Source organism: Homo sapiens, chromosome 7, assembly GCF_000001405.40.
Source record: "Homo sapiens chromosome 7, GRCh38.p14 Primary Assembly".
NCBI lineage: Eukaryota > Metazoa > Chordata > Mammalia > Primates > Hominidae > Homo > Homo sapiens.
The window spans coordinates 31,782,942-31,803,824 of record NC_000007.14 but is presented as its reverse complement, the minus strand read 5'-3'; the positions used below and the strand labels follow the sequence as shown (position 1 = coordinate 31,803,824).

The 20,883-nt window shown below is 35.7% G+C and overlaps 1 protein-coding gene across 26 annotated transcripts in view; it reads left to right on the top strand.

Annotated features, from left to right (window-relative positions):
* Positions 1 to 20,883, top strand: part of PDE1C (phosphodiesterase 1C) — an 811,448-nt gene that overhangs the window by 624,400 nt on the left and 166,165 nt on the right. For 9 of the 26 annotated variants that reach the window (NM_001322059.2, NM_001322058.2, XM_017012266.2 and 6 more), the window contains 1 exon segment: positions 13,566 to 20,315. The exons of the other annotated variants lie outside the window; for them this stretch is intronic. In NM_001322059.2, coding sequence (NP_001308988.1) covers positions 13,566 to 13,579 — 14 coding nt within the window. In that variant the 3' untranslated portion in view covers positions 13,580 to 20,315. 26 annotated transcript variants of the gene reach the window in all.

Below are 20,883 nucleotides of genomic sequence, written 5' to 3'. Positions count from 1 at the left end.
ACTTGGAACCAACCTAAATGTCCAACAACGATAGACTGAATTAAGAAAATGTGGCACATATACACCATGGAATACTATGCAGCCATAAAAAATGATGCGTTCATGTCCTTTGTAGGGACATGGATGAAACTGGAAACCATCATTCTCAGCAAACTGTCGCAAGGACAAAAAATGAAACACCGCATGTTCTCACTCATAGGTGGGAATTGAACAATGAGAACACATGGACACAGGAAGGGGAACATCACACACCGGGGACTGTTGTGGGGTTGGGGGAGGGATAGCATTAGGAGATATACCTAATGCTAAACGACGAGTTAATGGGTGCAGCACACCAACATGGCACAGGTATACATATGTAACAAACCTGCACGTTGTGCACATGTACCCTAAAACTTAAAGTATAATAATAATAATAATAATAAAAAGAAAAAGCCCAACCAATTGAAACCAATGCAGAACTGAAACAGATGTTAGAATTAGCAGACAAATACATAAAAGCAGTTCTTATAACTGTAGCCCATATGTTCAGAAGTAGACACATGGAAGATCTTTTTAAAAGACTAAAATCAAACTTCTAAATATGAAAACTACAATATCTGATATGAGAAATGTGATTGATGGTATTGACAGAATAACATTAGATGAGATTAATGGTGAGTACACTGGATGGAATTAGACTTCGGAGAGGAAAAGAGTAGCAAAACGATAGCAATAGAAACTACCCAAAAGGAAATAGAAAAAAAGAATAAAAACAGAATTGTAGGACACCTTCAAATAGCCTAATAAATGTGTACTTGGAATCCCCAGGTAGAGGAGAGAGGAGGAAAAATATTTGAAAAATCAGGGGCTATAATTTTGTCAGATGATGAAAACTATAAATCCACAGATTCAAGAAGCTCAATACATCTCAAGCACAGGGAATATAAGGAAAACTGCACAAAAGCATACTATAGTCAGATTGCTCAAAACCAGTGATGAAGAGAAAAATTTAAAAACTGCCAGAGAAAAATTACACATATGTACAGACAAACAAACATAAGGATGACAGTAGATGTCTTGTGGGGAACAATGCAAATAAGACAGTGGAGCTAAATTTTTTAATTAATGAAAGGAAAAAAAATCAACAAAGAATTCTGTGCCTAGCAAAAATATTTTTCAGAAACCAAGATGTGATTAAGATGTTTTCATCAGACATACAAAAACTTAATGAATTCATCACCAGTAGACGCACCATGCAAGAAATTTTAAGGAAAGGTGAAGGATAATTATGCCGTATGAAAATATAGATCTGTACAAAAGAATGAAAAGCATTAAAAATGGCAACTACATAGGTAAATATATACGATTTTTCTAATTTATGTTAATGATAATTGACTAGGTAAACAAAATAATATAAATGTACTGTTTATTTTATAACATATACAAAAATGAAATATATGACTACAGTAGCAAAAAGTCCAGTAGGGGAGAAATGGGATATCTATTGTAAGGTTCAGTATCATGCATGAGGTGTTATAAAATCATTGGAGGATTGAGGTAAATTAAGAGCATATATATTATAAACTCTAAAGCAATCACTAAAACAACAAAACAAAGATATATAGCTGATTAGCCAGCAACAGATAAAATGAAATCATAAAATAATTAATCCAGAACAAGGTAGAAAAAGAGTAAGAAGGGAACAAAGAACAGGTGAGACAAATAGAAAACAAATAGGAAGATCACAGAATTAAAACAAAGCAAATCAGTTATCACGTTAAATATAAATGACTTAAGTGCCTTAATTAAAAGGCAGAGATTGTGAGATTGTAATATTCAAATATATTATGCCTTTATACAAAAAGACACAAATATAAAATTCCTGACTTCACCACTATTAAACATATTAATGCAACAAAATTACACTTGTATCGCATAAACATATACAAATAAAAACAAAAACAATCAAAAAAGGACACAAACAGCACAAAAGTAAAAGGTTTTAAATTGGTATACTGTCTTAACACTAATCAAAAGAAAGCCTGGTGGCTATATTAATATATGACAGTAGATATCAGAACAAAGACAGGAATAAAGAAGTTTCAGCAATAAAGAAGTTCATTTCATAATGATAATGTTGTCTGTTTATCAAGAGAATATAATCATTTTTTACATTTATGCACCAAATACTTGAAACAAACTACAAAAACATTTTTAATTCACAATTTATTTGGAGACATTATTATCTCTTTCTCAATAATTAATAGACTAAGTAGATATGAAAATCAGCAAGGAAACAAAGACTTCTACAACACTGTCAATCAACTTGACATAATTGGCATTCCTAGAATACCCAACCATAGAAGAATACACATCTTTTTCAAGTGCATACAGAATATTTAAAAAGATAGACTATATTCTGGGAGAATAAATTAGTCCCAATAAATTCAAAAGGATTCAAGGCAAACAAATATGTTCATGGACCATGATAGAATTAAATTGAAAGGATGTTTGTATTATGTTATTATTCTTTTAATATCTGTAGAATTTTTAATAATGTTATCACTCTCATTTTTTATATGCGTAGTTTGTGTTTTCTCTCTTTTTCCCTGATCTGCATGGCTAAAGGTTAATATATTTTATTAATCATCACCATTAATATTTTCTATTGTTTTTCTGTTTTCTATTTTATTAATATCCATCTTTATTATTTCCTTTCTTCTGCTTGCTATTGGGTTTACTTTGTCTCATAGTTTCTTAAGGTGAAAGTCATGGTTACCGATTTGAGATTTTTTTTTCTTTTTTAATGTAGGCATTTAGTGGTGTAGATTTTCTTAAGTACTGCTTTAGCATCATGATCCAAACTCTGATATGCTGCATTTTCATTCACATTCAGCTCAAAATACTTTCTAATTTCCATTTGGTATCTACATTGACCTAAGAGTTATTTAGAAGTGTAATGTTTAATTTCCAAATATTTGGGGATTTTCCAGAGACAGGTGACATGTAAATTCTTCCCATGTTGATCTATAGGTTCAATACAATCTCAATTAAAATCCTAGTATGCTTTTTTTTGGTAGAAATTGACAAGCTGATTCTAAAATTCATATGGAAATACAAAACATCCAGAATAGACAAAGCAACTTTGAAAAAGGAAAAAGTTGGAGGACTACAGAGAAGGTTTGATTTCAAGACTTACTATAAAGCTATGGTAACTAAGGCAGCATGGTATTGGCATCAACACAGACCAACAGATCAACAGAATAGCTTAGATACTCCAAAAATAGATCTACATGTGTATGGACTATTTATTTTTAATAAAGGGCAAAGACAATTCCAAGGGAAAATGATAGTCATCAACAAATGATGATGACTGCTTGAAATGTCATATGCAAAATAAGGAATTTCTAACTATACATCACATACAAGCGACATCTCAAAATTTATCATAAAGCTAAATGTAAAATGTAAAACTATCAGTTTCTAGTTAAGAAAATATAAGAGAAACTCTTTTTGATCTTGGGTTAAGCAAAGATTTATTAGGCATGACCACAAAAGTACAAACCATAAAAAACAAATTGATAAATTATGCTTTATCAAAAGCCTCTATTAGGAGAATAAAAAGGCAGTTCACATTCTGGGGGGATATTTGCAAAACATATATTTGTTAAATAACTGATATTCATTAAATATAGATACTCAGTATTAAATAATAAGAAAACGACCCAATTAAAAACATACAAAAAATTGAACAAACTTTTCACTAGAGAAGATATACAACTAGCAAATAAGCACATTAAAAGATCCTTGACATCATTAAGGATGTGAAAATTAAAAGCCAAATTTAAAACCATATTAAGATAAAACAAAGCTTGTATGAGGGGATATGTATATTACATCCACATAATAATTTCTTAGCTCTGCATTTCACTGTGGCTGTCAGGACACAGCTTTGTCAGTTTGTTTTCTCAATGAGGAAATTGTATTTCTTACAACCATTCTTTCTGAATATTTCTCAAGATAATCATATTCTCCTATTTAGAATCTTAGTACAGAAAAAATGGAGGAGGCAGGGTAGCCAGTATTCTTGTTAGTTTGCATAGAACAAATAACTGTGATCAAAAGGGTTATTGCGTACATTATAGGAATTTGCCTCTAATCATATCTACATTATATAATTCTTCACAAGGCTGTTGTCTCATGACCTTGACTTGCTACATGGCTCACAGTGGTCACCTGAAGAAATGTATGTGTTTTTTCTGTTTTTTTCTTTTTTAATTTTTTAAAAAATAGATGATTCCTAACAAGTTAGTTTGAAATGGAGTACATAAATGAATTTGGAATGGATGACTCTGAGCTTTTAAGGCATCTTTTGTTCTATTTGAATTGATTTGCCAAGCCATTAATGAAAACAGCAGAAGAATACAACTTTACACTTGAGTGGTATTTAATTTTCATCATGTTCATATTTTGAAAAATGTTAGTTGCCTATAGGGTGAGGCATCATGACCTGCTCTTCAATGAAGCTGGTAGTGAAAGATAGGAGGGGCCTGTACAGATGTGGAGGTATGCCCTGCTTTGCAGATCTGGGGAGAAAAGAGTCAAACAGCAGGCTGTGGGTAGAACTGACACATGTATGTCTTTACTAGAGATTGTTTCTGTCTTAGGTTCATTTCCAGAGATTTGAGAAACAATAAATGCTTTGTCACATGACCTTTATTCAGCAGGTGTGCATTCACTGGTTATACGGACCCTGAGGGCATTATCAGTTTTCTTACTGGCATGGACACCTGTATTCCAGTTTTCTCATCTCAAGGAATCATACTCACGTTATTCTTTCTTCCAAAAAAAAAATGTCCCCATACTACTTAGGACGATAGTTTTGGATTGTCTTTATATGCCAGAATAAAGAACTGCCCTATTTTAGACACCTCAAAACCTTTCTTTTGGTTGATGTTTCATTTTATCACCTTAGTTTTCCAATCTCTGCTATTTCTTCCCACAGGGCTTCGTGTTATCACTTGTAGTTGACACTGGCTATGCATTGGTCCATGCAGAGCCATAGCAACACTTGAACACACTTACTTGTCTTCAGCACACTCATATTTGAATGAATCTTATACCCCCTTGATATAGAAGATGTTATGGAGAATTTTGTAATTCCTTTAATATTTTTCTCAATTTCTGAAAGATCTATTTGTTTCTAAGGAACTGTTGATATGATTTTTGACCAAATTCTAATGGATTTACCATTCTTAGAGGATGGTGGTCTTAGTGACCATTTTTGTTCAGACTTCTACTCTAGTTTATGTTGCGTCACTACACATAAGTCATAGAAAATGTTTGGCATTTTGAGAATTCTTGACATAGGACTTTTTAGTGAAATTTACTTTGCCATTCATCATTTTGTTCTTTATATAAGAATGGTCTCATTTGGGAAACACAAAATTCCTTCATCTGGGAGCTCGGGATATGTGATGATTAGAAAGAGAGGCTGCTGATTAGCTAGAAGAGCTCTACACAATGGCAGAACAAGGAATTCCATATTGACAGTAAAGGAAGAGTTGATTATGCTGGAGAGGATTTGTTGACACTGAAATGAATACTTGTGACCAGTGCGTAGTTTTGACTGACAGTTTACTGATGTACAATGTGAAATATATACTCCACATATGCTGGGATCCTCATGTCAACTGGCCAGTTGGTGGTTTCTTCTTGAAGGAAAACTTACTTGGAAAGTCAAATTGTATCAGAAGGTTGCTTGGTGAACTGAACATGTAAGGGGACTTAGTTGATGAATTGTGATCTTAAGGTAGAATATCTTGAAATCTGTTTCTATCATTGGGACGGAGCTGCCAAGAAGAGTGGATATGGGTCATCTTGCATGTGCTATATCCTGACAGTGCAAGAGGCACCCCTCTATGGCACCCCTTTTCTTGCCTGTTTTTTAGCCACACATTAATTCAGCCATGAGATGTGTTAATATCTTGGAGTAGATTATTATTCTTGTTCACTTTCAGTCATCCTTGATTGCTTTTCTGGGCCTTAATCTTGACGATACTGCGTTGTTTTTAAGGTAGATGTTCTCGATTTTTTTTCCTCATTATTTTTTGTCCACTTTAGACTACCAGATTTTCACTAGCTCTACACCCCTCTGAAGGTGTGCCCAGATCATGTGATGTGTAAAATAGGCCAAGGAATGTGAATTGGGAAGACAAGCTGTTACCCCATCCTTTTCTCTCACACCCAAGATAGTGTTGCCATAGCAATAACTTTGAATCTCTTCTACTTACCTTAAAAATTAACCCTTTATAACTTCAGTGCTTAACTGTTTTTAGTAATGAATCATTTGTAATATACTTCACTAGTGGTCATGCCACTGAAGTCAAAATCTGCTATTTTGAGGCAGTTTATACATATAGTTAATCCCATCCTTTAGGTTTTAAACTTGTTTCTGTCTCAAAGGATAATATTTCTTAGGTCTAGGAAGGTATCCCACTGCAGCCTTCTATGTAGTGACAAAAAGTAGACATTTCTTTAATGAAGGAATTGCTTTCAGCATGAGAATCCAGCATCTGCGTAGGTTATTTTTCATGAGCAAAGAGGGACCAAATATCTGGAGTGCTTTGGGTTCCAATTAAGTCGTCATAAGAACACAAATTCTGACTAATATCCCATTTCCCTTAGCCATTTGTCCATGAAAACTCCTGTGACCCATTTCCTTAACATATTTATGTCATGTGGAACATTAATAGTAAGGAAATGCCATGGTTTAGCAGGTGTTTTCTAAAGCAGTTACAACCTTATTTTCTCAAGTAGTTTGACAAGTATCTAAACTCTCCACTCCAATGTCCCTGCCCAAGGAAAACAACAAAAAGTCAATAAATGGAGGAGAGAGTTGTAATATTATTTTTAGGTGTCTGTTTTTCTCATGAATCTGGGTAAAACTTCACTAATTAAACCCTAAAAGGTTTTTTTGATTAAACATTTTGATTTAGATACTTCACTGTCATTTTGTAATTAAATTTGGAAGCTGTGCTGTAGGGTGACCCAACAATAAGAGCTACTGTGAATTCAGTGATGCTTAAACCCAACGTAATTGGTTTTTTTTATAGATTTGGGGAAAATCTATTAACCAATCCATAATATGTGAGTGGGAAGTGGCCAAACGGTGTTAACCTGAAAAAGCACCTTGTTCCTTTTTTGCTATGGACTTTTAGTCTTGGGAGCATGGACGTACAAAACCTGTTACTTATTCATGGTTCTAGCATTTCATCTGAGTCATAGTGAATCAGAACAGTTAGCGCTTTTGGTAATAAACGTCCATTTCAAATCAATGCATTTTTTATATACTTTTAGGTTCAGTGAATGTCCTTGTGCTTTTCAAGGATGGTATATAATGAATATAAAGGAATTATAAAGGAACAAGATGGCAGGTGACTACCATTGTCTTCTTGCAGATTTTTGTGTCTGGAAATTCATGTTTGTAGTATGAAAATAGCAACTGAAATTACACACACACTTATGTACACATACACATATATATGTACACACATACATAAATCATACATATGATATATGATACAATATGATATATCTGATATATGATGCATATATGACATATAACATGTAAGATATATTAATATATATCATATATACATAATATATACCCTCTATGATAAACTATATTACATACATCTTAAATCATATATACATATACATATATATATATGTGTGTGTATATAGATATATATATGTCCCTGTCCAAGGAAAACAAAAAGTCAATAAGTGGAGGAGAGAATTGTAATATTATTTTTAGGTGTCTGTTATTCTCATGCATCTGGTTAAAACTTCACTAATTAAACTCTAAAAGGTTTTTTCGATTAAACATTTTGATTTAGATACTTCATTGTCATTTTGTACTTAATTTTGGAAGCTGTGCTGTAGGTTGACCCAACCATGAGAGTTATTATTAATTCAGTGATGTTTTAACCCAACATAATTGGTTTTATTTTATGAATTTGGGGAATATCTATTAACCAATCCATAATATGTGGATTATATTATATATTATATGAGATTGATGGGTTTAAATAAATTGTGTTATACTAAGGGAAACTTCTAACATCAATTCATGTTTTTTATGTAGGTGTTTAGATCCCAGTCTCTTACCAAGTAACTCCATAGTAGAAATGTCAAATAAAAGTATATTATGAACTCTTTGTTAATGATAAAATTAGACTTTCTGAACAACTTTTCTTTTGCAATTATTGCTACATAAGCTTTCATTGTTTCACTCTGTCTTCTAGATACTTTGTGGAACTACTAATGTACCACTGTATTTTTAAAGGAATCTGGTTTGACAGAGGGAATTAAAATTTTGTAACTACGGGGCAAGGTGTGATTTTTCTTTTTTCCTTAATACTGATGTTCAAGATGTTTAAAATAAAGCTTCTTAGTAATCATGAAATAAATATTTTCTCCTGGAAAAAAATGATATTTTGTCAGATTCTATGCAAGGGATTGGAGAAACACAAGTAACAATATATTTGCCAAAAGAAACTCTATTAACATTATATTTAAATATTTAAAATAAAGGGAACCTTTGAAGTAAATATGTGCCAAAGGCAGAACTTAACACTATCTACATTGGTAATGCCATTTCTTTTCTAGACGCTCACATGCTAAAAAAGCTATTAAATGCAGTATTCAGCAAGTATTCAAGCTTCCCCTCTTTGCATTTTTTCTTAGCATTCTCCACTGATGGGCATCCTGCTCTCCAAGTGACCATGTCTACATTTCTTAAGTATTAGTCCGCTGCAATATATGCTATTTTTATTCTATGCCCTGGAGCCATAGTGAAAACATGAGAAAATGATTGTTTGTTTGGTTTTCTCATCATTTAGAATCTTTTCTGCTTTTCCTGAAATAATAAAATTGAGAAAAACATGAAGAGTAGTCAGAATGTTTCATGTCTAAAATCCAAGCCTCACTTACTGATCTGAAGGACTTTCTTTACGGTCCTGGGCTTCTTCCTGACTTCACAGATTCAAAGACTGATCAGAAACTAAACTCTTTTGTGCAGACAAGGGTGCTTAACTCTACCCTCACCTGCACCTCTGTGAATCAGGGATGTTGACTTATCATCAGAGGAGTTGTAGGAGTTACTGATGCCTGACTTTTACTTGTCTGCTAAAAGTGGGCCAGGCATTGGGGGCATTTAGAGAGTTCAGTGTTTTAATCATTGTCTTTGTGTTAATGTGCTACATTCTTAAAACAGAGCATGATAGCAGTAAGACACCTTGGGCAGTGTGAGACAGAAGAACAGAGACAGTTGTTCACATATTTTATGTTTGGAAAGAAAGAACATGCTAAATGAAAGAGAGAAAGCAACAAGGGTAGAGAGGAAGAGTTTAACATCATTGTTATTTTCAGTGGTAGCACAGATGCAGTGGAGCAAAAGGAAAGACAAAGAGGGAAAGGGTTGGACCTAAGAACTATTAGATTGCTGCAAAAGTAAATGGGGTTTTTGCCATTGAAAGTAATGGTAAAGACCGCAATTACTTTTGCACTAAACTAACTGTTCTTTGTACTGTTCTTATTCTGTGTGTTTGGATCAAATGGGTAAATTTTAGGAGTTAATGGCATAGGCAAGGTTTTAAGAAGTTACATTCCCACAAATGTCTTCTGTCTGTCTGTCTGTCTGTCTGCCTGCCTGCCTGCCCGCCTGCCCATCTATCTGTCTATCTATCTGTCTGTCTGTCTGTCTGTCTGTCTGTCTGTCTGTCTGTCTGTCTGTCTATCTATCTATCTATCTATCTATCTATCTATCTATCTATCTATCTATCTATCTGGTTTATCTATGTGTCTGTCTATCTGTCCTTCTGTTTTATTTTTCTGTGCTGGAATAATACATGATGAGAGGATTTTGTCTTAGCAGTGCTGTAGCATGGATATTATTTGTAGTGAAAATATAATCCTATTATAATAATATGCTCTATTATTTAGGGCAAGGAGAAAGCATGCACATGTTGAAAATAACGCTTTAAAATAGCTGTCATGTACTTGTGACCTAGGACAATTAAGTCCATACCTGGATAAAGCCTAACAGATACTTTAAAATTGTTTTTTCTTAATGTTTTCTTCTTATTTAAAAAAAAAAAAAACGAGGACCCATTCATATGCCCAATAGAAGTCTTACATGACATTTCAAATTGGTTTTGGTTTCTCTACACTTATTCTTCATTCGTTTTTTTCTATTTAGAGTTTTATAACTTGTCAGGTGTGTGCTGTATCACTTTGCTGTTTTTGCAGAAAGTTGACTCCATAGGGAGGCAGCTATGGTACAGAGTTCCTAGGACCTGAAAATCTGGTTTTGAACCCCATCTCTCTCTTCAGCCAAGTCAACTTACTTCTTTGAGTTTAGGTGATAGTTGAATCAGGCTGTAAAAACATCAAATCCAAGAAAAATGGAAGAGAAATGCATTTAAAATATTTTTTAAGCCCAGTGGCAAATTCTTATGAGGGCTGCCTCATTGACACTCCATTTGTGATCCAGGAATAAACATTATAATGGATAAACACATCTTTAGAATCAAGTCATGTTAAATTGAACTTCAATCTTCTTCTAAAACCAATTATCTTTAAATCACATGGTTTTAAGACCTATATACAGCATCTGCACTTACCTTTGGGAGCAGCATGGTACCATAAATAAGGCCACATTGTTTTAAGTCCGTCTCCCATTTTTCTAAATGAAGTTGCTGAAACATGATTGTATGCTCCTATAGAGTAAATACATTTCTGTGAATTCATATACCATGTATTTGCACTTCAGGATTTAAAGTTCTCACAGCTTTACCTTGTGAGGTATAAAAAGTCTTGGGTCAAGGGGCAGGCACTTAAATAGTTTCCTGAATTATTCCAAGATGTGGCAAGAAAGTTTCCATTTCAATTCATCAGTCACTCTTTAAAAAGTGGAAGGATTTAACTACTTTTTGTGGCCTTCAAAAAGTCATGCATCTCAGTTACACACAGAGTGGCCTATTAACACTTTGTCTTCAGGGTCCTCATTTTCATATACTTTGTAGTCTTGCTGATGCTTACTGAATTTCAGTTTATATTGAAAACAAATACATAAAACCAGAACACAATGAAAGATAGGATGTGGAGTGAAAAGAGGACCAGGCCTGATTTGCAAACCATGCCAAAGCTGCCTGGATAGCAGGTGCTCCTTCTCTGTGAGATTAGCTCCATAGAAAGCCATCCATAATTGGGTTTCTTCATAGGGAATGTAAATATTTTGACATATCATACCTTACTATTGAATAAAATATATAATTGGTGTGTTTATTATTTTCTTTTAAATTTTTGTTTCATGCTGTGAAAGTCAAAATTAGAAAAAGGGTGGAGGGAAACCTCCTATTCATCACCACACCTTATCAGTCCCATCCTCCTCATGCTTATTCAATTCTCTTCTTTTTCATTAAAAATATTGTTGAGCATATGCTATGTGTCAGGCATTGCACTACATGCAAGAAGTGTTATAAACGATAAATGAGGTGTTTTCCCTGTTCTCAAAGAGTCAGCAGTCTGGGTTGGAACATTATTTTGCAGGTAGCTATGATATAGGGACCTTAGGGTATTTCTTAAGTGACTTAAGAAATTCACAAACAGAAGTTACTTTTAGAGGGCATGTGTTTGGGAAGGCCAGGGATGATGACTCAGGTCATCACGTCACAGACCCAGCTATAGAACATATGCTTCTTGTTCTTTTACTGCTGGTGGTATTTAATGACAATGAACACAGGCACAGCTTAAACACACAAACTTCTTTTATTCACCCTTTCCCTTCACCCCTTGACACAAAGCTGGAGGGGAGGATGGAGATCCACAGCCAGAGGGAACACTCCACCATCTCACCCATAAGCAGTGATTAGAAATGGAGGAATATCTCGTTTTAGCAGCCTTTGGATTTCATTAAGACCCTAGATAGGCCTCTTTCCATCTCTGGGACCCAGCAGTCTGGACCGTGGGTCTCTGCTAACCCAGTCTGCAGGAGGTGCATCATTCTCCTTGTTGGCCAGGTGAGGCTCACTGAGTTAAATAGTGGTCTTTATCAGCTGTCCCCAGCTATCTGTCTCTAGCTTCCTTCCAACCAATGGGTCTGTTATTAAAAAATCAAACCCAACCTTCTGTCATCCTAACAAAATTGGGCTTTACATTTGAGGGTCTGGGGACATCTCTGAAGGTGGTTAGTATTATGATGACTCTCTAAAAGAAGCCTCATGACGTATGATCCCAAGTTGATAATGGCAGGGTCAGAGTACTAAGGACAAAGTCATGTATTGCAATTCCATGTGGACCAAACTGTGCATAGACTATCAACATCAATGGAAAATTTCTCATCCTTGATTTCAGCTTTTGTTTCACCTCCTTCTCTCACTGGCAAGTTTATCAGTGCTAGTATTGGAGTAAAGTGATTGGTATGAAGCCTCACTTTTGTCTGTTATTTCTCTCAAATGGGTGAAGGTGTTAATGGAGGGTAAACATAATGAACAATCAAGAACATAATAAAGTTAGAGGAACAGCAGGAAGCTTGGATCAATGGCCCCTGGAAAATTGAGAATTGACTGTAATTACAATAGATCAGAAGGAGTTCTCCTATCTCCCAATGAGTTTTCTGCTAAATTCACCTAAATCTTAGGAGAGTATCTTAGTCTTTAAAGTTGAATGGGAAACTTTCCTTGTCCTGTAAAGGCTTCTAACATCTCTGTAGATAATAGTGTTACCCTTCTTAAAGTCCAAGCCAACTGGAGCCCTGCATAGAAGGGAACACTTTCTAACTATAAGGCATGATGACTTGCAGAGCATGCAACACCAATTGGAAGAAATAATATGGTGGGTTTGTTGTGGTTGTTGTTTTAAATTCTGCCTAAGACCTTTGAGGTTACATGGGGTAGAGCATGCCAGTTGAAAAGAAATACAATATTGTCTATTGTCATTAACCTAGTCCTTTTTCCATCTTTGTCGTCTTCCTCCACCCCCTTGCTCTGGGTCCAGTGGAGAACTCAGGTGATTCACCCATCTGCAAAATGATTTGGGCTAGGATACATCTTGCTTTAAATGTCTCTGGGAAACTTCTGAGGGTGGGGCAAGAATTCTGAGAGGGAGGAGTATTGCTTTTGATATGAAAACAGTTGGGATTAGATGAATCTGATTTCTTCCAATCCCACTGACCCTTGAGACAGATTGACCAGATCTGGCAACAAAACCGTCATCTCCATTGCAAAAGAAGGTGGCTTAATATCCCTACTGCATGACCAAATGTTTGCTAATCTAGTTTACAGCAACTATTAAGATTTCAAATGTACTGATATTACAGTTTTGCACTGACATTTTCCCCTTATGAATAGAACAAATCTTGTTACAAGGGAGACAGCAATGACCAGTATGGAAATGTTTAATTGGTTATCCCATTTTTTTTGGTCCCCTAGATTTCCTTCTCCTCAGACTTGGAGGGTGGAGGTGGGCGGGGGGAAAGGCAGCATTGACACTTTTCTTTTTCTTTTTCTTTTTTTCAGATTCACAAGAGTAAAAAAGACCTCATAGACAATAAAAGAGGCTGCCAGTGTCTTGCATCATTCTAGCTGAGCTTCTTCATTCTCCTTCTTCTCCTTCTTCCACAAAGACCCATATCTGGAGAAGGTGTACAACTTTCAAACACAAGCCCCCCACCCCCTGACCCTTGGCCTTCCCTCACACCATCTCCTTCCAGGGGATGAATCTTTGGGGGTTGGTTTGAGGTCTTAGAACTCTGGGGGATATTCCCCTGAGCAAAACAAACAACGTGAGATTTTTACTCAAACAGAAACAAAACATGAAGGGGCATCCTCAAAATCCTTTGCTAATGACCTGGCTTTCAAGGCATCTGTCTGGCCTGATGAGAATGGACATCCTGGATATGCTGGGAGAGGCCTGAAAAAAGCCACACACACAGTAATTGCCATTTTATGACTGTCAATGCCGTTACTTTAAATGTTGTCATTTTTGCACTGGCTACTGATGATACAGCCATGCTGACATTCATCACCGCAAAGATGATGATTCCAGTCTCTGGTTCCTTTCCTGAGTCAGGAACATTTGTTTTCTCCAATTTCCTTTCAGACTTAAAATTGTTCTTATGCTTTTTTTCCCACTTCTGTAATACAGAATTCTGTTTGTTTTCTAAAAAAGATTATTCTATAGGAATCTTTATTTGATGGCTAATTTATTTTCTCTGTGCATTCATTAGTATAAACCTGAATGTTCAGCTGGTGACTGTACTGTTGAGTGGGAACCCATTGTTTCCACTGGTAGCATTGATAACTAAGTGGTTACTGAAATTTTTACCACTGGCTGGACATCTTCTTTTGGATATCTGTGGTTTTATTTCATCACTCTTCTTTTTATTCAGTAAAGTGCTAAGGGAATTAGTATCAGGGAGATATGGCAGATAATTCTTTGCATTTTAGTGAGTTTTTAAAAATACAAGATAGAAGTGGATTAATAGCACGAATAAAAAATAAGAATAGTAGATGTAGCATGGAAAGAGAATAACATTGCAGCCCCCTTGAGACCAAATTACAGGTGGGATCTAAGGGAGTGCAAGTAAAGTGGGATTTTATGAGTCTAAATGATGTGATTTAGATAAAAGTGATTCTTAAAATGTGGTTATTGGTCACACAGGAATCTCTGAGTCCTTCCCAAGAGTGAAGCACATGAATATGCTGATGATGAAGTGGGGATTAGTAATAGAAAGAGAGCTAGGCAATAGGTTTAAGTGTATTCCCCACTACAGATTTAATTTCTACATGAAAAAGCACGAGAACAGATATTTAAACGTCCTTTTATTACTAAGGTGAAATATTGGCATTTTTTCAGGCAGAAAGAAAGAGACTGTATGTGGTCTTCCTGGACCTTTGCCTTGCCAAAATGTTCCCCAACAGAAAGATCTGAAGAACTTTGTAGTATCGAATGCACAACAGCATGCTGATATTTGAACAGATTTCTTCTGTCAGCTTTACATTTTGCCTTGGAGAAACACTTAGATTTTTCTGTTGTGCTCCCTGTGTTCATAACAATGACCTCACCACATAATGTGGCCAGAAATTCAAATGACTTCAGGGGCCTAGCAGGTCAAGTAAATGAATAAAGCAAGCCATGTAATATCACAGTCATTGTGGTAAATGGCAATTCATAGTGGGCCTTTGTATCAGCAAGACAGGAAGGAGCAATGGGGACTGTGAGAAATTGGAGAGGGTGGGTGCTGTCAAAACAGGGTAGTTGGTAGGCAGCAACTGAATTTGAGCTGTGTGGGGATGGGGGTCCTAGATACCTAGGATTTGATATAAGCTCTCTCCAAATTTTTACATATTGACAACTAACTCAAAAACTTACAAACACTGTGCTAATCAAATGAAACATGCCTGTGAGCTGCATTCAATCCATGGGGCATTGGTTTGCAAGCTATGTTCTTAGAGGTGGTATGATTTTGTATTGAAATTAAATATAACCAAGAGTATGTCAATTTTTGACCTTGGAACCTGGACCTTTTACCTCATTTATATTCTGTATTTTTGTATGTGGGGCTTTTTGGCCAGTCAAAATAGAAAGTCTACAGCTTCCATTTTATAATCTAACAAGCAACAAGAAACAACATTTGAAAAAGAAACAGGAATATAGCCATTTTTTCTAGCACCAATAAAAATGGAAATGTTTTTCATTTGCTTTAAGTCATTAATCAGCTGAAAAAGAATAGAAAGAGAATTTCATTCCATAAAGAACTTCACCTAAAACTCTCAGTGAAGCAAAACAAAACTCCATGTAACTCACTCTTAGCTTTAAATCTTTAAAAAGTGTTTCGAAGGGATATTGAGTAAAAATGCAGTTATCTATTAAAAATACAAAATGCTATATTATATGATGCTATGAATTGATACTGGAGCTGATAAAACATTAAAGTAATTATTCCAAATCAGTGCTGACTGCAAAAGCAATATTTCCAAAGCTCTAGCTTATTTTCTGCGGTCTTTTAATTCCCTTGAAATAGCTTTCTTCAAGTTGAGCAGCAATTTGGGACAAACATTATTCTATTGCACAGATTATGGCATCTTACTCTGGTTTACACACACAGAGCAAGGGCTTACACACCTGAATTAAGAATTAACTAGCATGTGGGGACAGCAATAGGGATAGTCCTACCACAGACGAAACCATGCGCTCTACACGTCCCTGGATAAAATGTGACAAGTTAGCCCTTGAATTTGGGTCCCCATGTCACCAAATAGCTCTATATTTAAGTTGTGTTAATGTGGTACGTTTCAGTGGCATAATGACCCATTCTTATCGAGGCCTTTGTTCCATATTTTATTTGTGCCAATCTTTCTTAGGTTATGAGCCCTAATAGTTTATGGCAGCAGACAAGAGACTCATTTCTAACCCATTAAATTCAAATGGACTTTCTTCCACTGTCCATTTCATTTTTGGAGCTGTTATAAACTACCGAAAACATTTGACAGGATCCCATTGTGGATCTGATACACTTAAACAGTAAAATGATATCTAAACATCTGAAAGCCAAAGAATAACCTAGTGCACGTGTTCATTCATTTGTAGAATTTAAGCCATTGTATTATATTTTCCACTTGGAACCATGCCTTTAGATACAAAAGTGTAAAGTAAAAAGCAACATTATCATGGGATGTGAGACGGTAATCCAAAAGTTGAAGACCAATTTTTGTTATCCATATTTTGGAAGTATGGATACTGTTTATTTTAATATCACTTCTCTCATGGGTCACTTTTCCTTAGATAGGTAGGTAGGTAGATAGATAGATAGATAGATGATAGATAGATAGATAGATAGATAGATAGATAGATAGATAGATAGATAGATAGATAGATAGATAATATAATATATTTTCTTCTTTCTTAACCTATGAGCAGAGACTTTGATGATGGAAATTACTTTGTAACATTCCCCATGGAGCCTAGGAAAAACAATAGAAAAAAAGCATGAAATCTTTTTCTCATAGTGAAATAGAGAAGATTCTAAGATTGGAAATCTGTGTATGTGGTGTTCTATCCCAAATAAAGAGAATTTAGGGAATTCAGGCAACAATTTTTTTCCTAATTGGAAACTTTGTTCTGATCCTGAGATGCCCACACACCCCACAGGAGACGCAGTGCTGGCCCACCACAGTGTTTGGAACACGGTCAGCATTCAGGAAACACATTCAAAATCGTCTAACTGAATTCCACTATCCACTTGTGAATGCAAACAAAATTCAAATTTCCCTGAAAATTTATTCAACTTCTATATGCCAAGCACACTGCTAAAGGCTTATCTTCTAAGTATATGCAGGCATACCCTACTCACACAAATAGCTTATTACCAGAGATAGGAAATTGCAGGTAATTTGGGAGAAATTGTCATAGCCAAATTTATGGAAAAAATAAAATAAAAACTTCTCTATGGCCTCTTGATTTAAGAAAAAAACAGAACAATACAAAAAAAAAAAAGCACTAAAACAGGATTTATCTGAGAATGTCTTTCCAAAAGGGAAGATGACACCAATCTATATAAAACGTCAGTGGATTTACTGAGAATCCGAGTGGAAACTTTTAAAACCTTAAACAGACTCTCCTACAGCAAATAGATTCTCTATGTGCAGCATGAGGAATCACTGCATAGTTCTGCTCCACCAATAATATGATTGGTACAGCACCAAACCATGGCAAAGTTAGATGTTAAAGAACATAATGTTGCAATAATGATGTTATATTGGATCTTATGCATGAACAAATGGAAAGTAATAATTTATCAACTGTGATCCATGATTAAAGGCCTCATTATCACTAAGAAAATGAACTTAATGAAAAAAATTATAATGAGCAATGACAATATTCCTATAAAACCTCCCTCTGGGTATCAAGAGACATATTACCTGCCAAGGCCAGATTTTACTTTTTAAGGTTTCCTCTCTCTCACCAAAGACACTAGTGGGCACAGAGGTGACACTAGAGTTAGAATGTTACCAGAGTCATTTGCATTAGACAGTTTATCTGATCATGAACATGTTCCCAGGGAGATTAGAAAAATGGGAAGCAGGCCTCTAAAGATCCTCCTTGGACATTTGTAAAAAGGCTGGCTGCTTCTCCAGGAATGTCTGAATTAAGCAAGAATTGTGCCACTGAAATAGCTTCTTGTTTTTATATTAAACAAGGAACGATTGTGCAGTGGATGACCTGGACTGAAAGATGTATGATGGTCAAGTTTAAACATATTAATTCCTGATTGTTTTCTTAAATACCCACCCTAGTCATTTTTTGGAAAATATTGCCAGACATATTTGACATGAATTCATGTTTATTCTGGCTTCTGTTCCCAAGCAGAAGTGGATTAACCCTGGCAATGGCTGGCTTCACTAACTGTACTTGCACCCAGCCTGGGCTGCCATCTGCTCAGCCAGGAGAAGCAGGGAGTGGGGTGTGGGCCCTTTAAGTTCGCTCAGGGCACACTCATTCAGTCTCCCCTGAGGAGACCTTGTCCCCCTTTGTGGGGTGAATGCTGGCTGTTGCAGGCCAGAGGCAGTGCCAACTGGAGACTCATCCTCTCAGCTTTGGTCAGCTTCAGCCACGTATTCTTCATGAGTGCTGGCTTCTGAACCTGCAGGATCATTTCTCAGTCAGTTTATGGTGCAGGGTAATTCATTTAAAATAAAGCCCATTAAAACCCCATGGCTATAGAATGGGTTTTAAATAGATTGTCCTGGAGACACATCATTGTATAGTCTTTGCTTCCCTCTCATGACCTATCTTGGAGTAGAATTTGTGTACTACTGTCCTTGTCTTTGAGTGGGTATATGTGTGATGGTACAGAAATACAGTCACATATTATATTAATATATATAGATGGATAGGAAAAACCTACAGCCATAGGTATTGTCCAATAACTGATTCTAGAGGTAGAACTATAGAGTATACATTTCCTTTTTTCTTGCTTTGATGATATTTTTATACAATTTTATATGCTATAAAATTTTCAAAAATATATTTGCTATTTTCATTTGTAGAGCTTGGTTAGGTTTTTATCAGCTCTTGTGCCCACTGTACAACCAGATTCCCCTCATCTAATTTAAATGTCTTCCCTTTTTCAAACTCTCCTTTATGTTTTCCTTTTTTTTTCCTCCCATTTTTCTACCCTTCACAAATTCCTTCTTTTGCTTCTGTCCAGGTAACCCATTCTGCTTGCAGTATCATTTTAGCACGTACAAACACAAAATAATGGGAAAAATAAAAGCACCTTGTTCCATGCAATTCGTATGGGAAAGTTTTGGGTGTCAAAGGTCGCTGGGGATAGATGGGGAGGCAGAAATAGCTTGGGAAAAGGAAGCAGGAAAAAAGGAAATCTTTATGGGAAATCAATTACCCAAAGCAAGGTGAGTCACCTAGAGGTGAATATGATGTTGTTATTGTCCTCCCTTAGTGTACAGCACAGTTTTTGCTCTCACAGGGTTTTTCTCTTTAGGATGCGTAGCACCCTATGCATTAAATACATAGCATCCTAAAGACACCCTACTCACCTTGAGTCTGTAGGCTCTTTCCTGATGAGGGCACTGGCCATATATGAATGGAAAACTCAACTCATCTCCTCAGCTTTAGATGTTGCTGCTGTTCAGCTGGATTTGTGAGAAATATCTGGATTACTATCAAGAACATTTAGCAAGACTCAAAAGAGAGAGGCAAGCAGAACCAAAACCCAAACCTCAACCAATGACTAGCTGAATAAACAATTCTTTGGAGGAATAAGGAAGGTATTTCTGGATGTATTCTGAGAATGCTCTTCCAAAAGGGAAGATGGTAATAATGGACTTGTTTTGATTTCATGGTTGTGATAGAATGTACTTCCATGATGTGAAATACACTTCTGGCAGATAAAATGCAGGTTGTAATTTGCATTTGTACATCACAGGGTAAAAGAATGGCCATCCATTCTGAGGAAGAGTGTTCTGTTCTCTAAGATGCTGCTTAACCAATGTTATCCAAATGCCATAGCATCATATCTCCAAATACAAGATTAAATCATAAGGATTCATGTAAAACAGAGTATACTGAGCTGTTCTCAGAAAAATTAATGATGTGTTTATTGTAAATCTTTATTGCACAGATGAGCCTGACAGTCCTTCAATGTATAATTTTCCCCCAGCATCTAGTAATGCATAAGTACTTGTATGTTCTTCTGATTACCAAATAAAAACAATGAGTTAACCTCTTAATTGGAATTGGAAAAATGAAAAGACTTTTTTTTCTTTCTTTGAATGTTTCCCATTGTTGTCCATGTTCTGTCTCAGATATAGAGCTGTCCAAACTCAGTCAACCATCTGTCTCTTTTGTATTCCCTTAAACGTCTCATAATACCCAGGCACCAAGTGCCTTTGCCTGCATGCTGAAAGACATACACAGAGTATGACTATATCACGTTTCATTTCACCTTTTTTGACTGTGAGGGATGAAGTAAATGGGTTATCAGAAGCTTATCAGAGGCATAAGAAATCTCAGCATTCATGGAATTAAGCTGGATTCCATATGTTTAATTTTCTTCAGGGTACAATGATATGGTTTTACAGCCCTGTGATGCTAGCTTTCTGAATTGCAAACTTTTTCTTTCTCCTACTCTTGAAAGGGGTATATTTGGCAATATTTTCCTGCTCAAGCCATGAACATAAGGAGTCTGACTAGGGAATGCAGATGTTCCTTGACTTACCATGGGGTCACGTCCCAATAAACTCATTGTAGGTTGAAAAAACTGTAAGTCGAAAATGCATTTAATATGCCTAACCTACCAGCTGTGTTTGAATC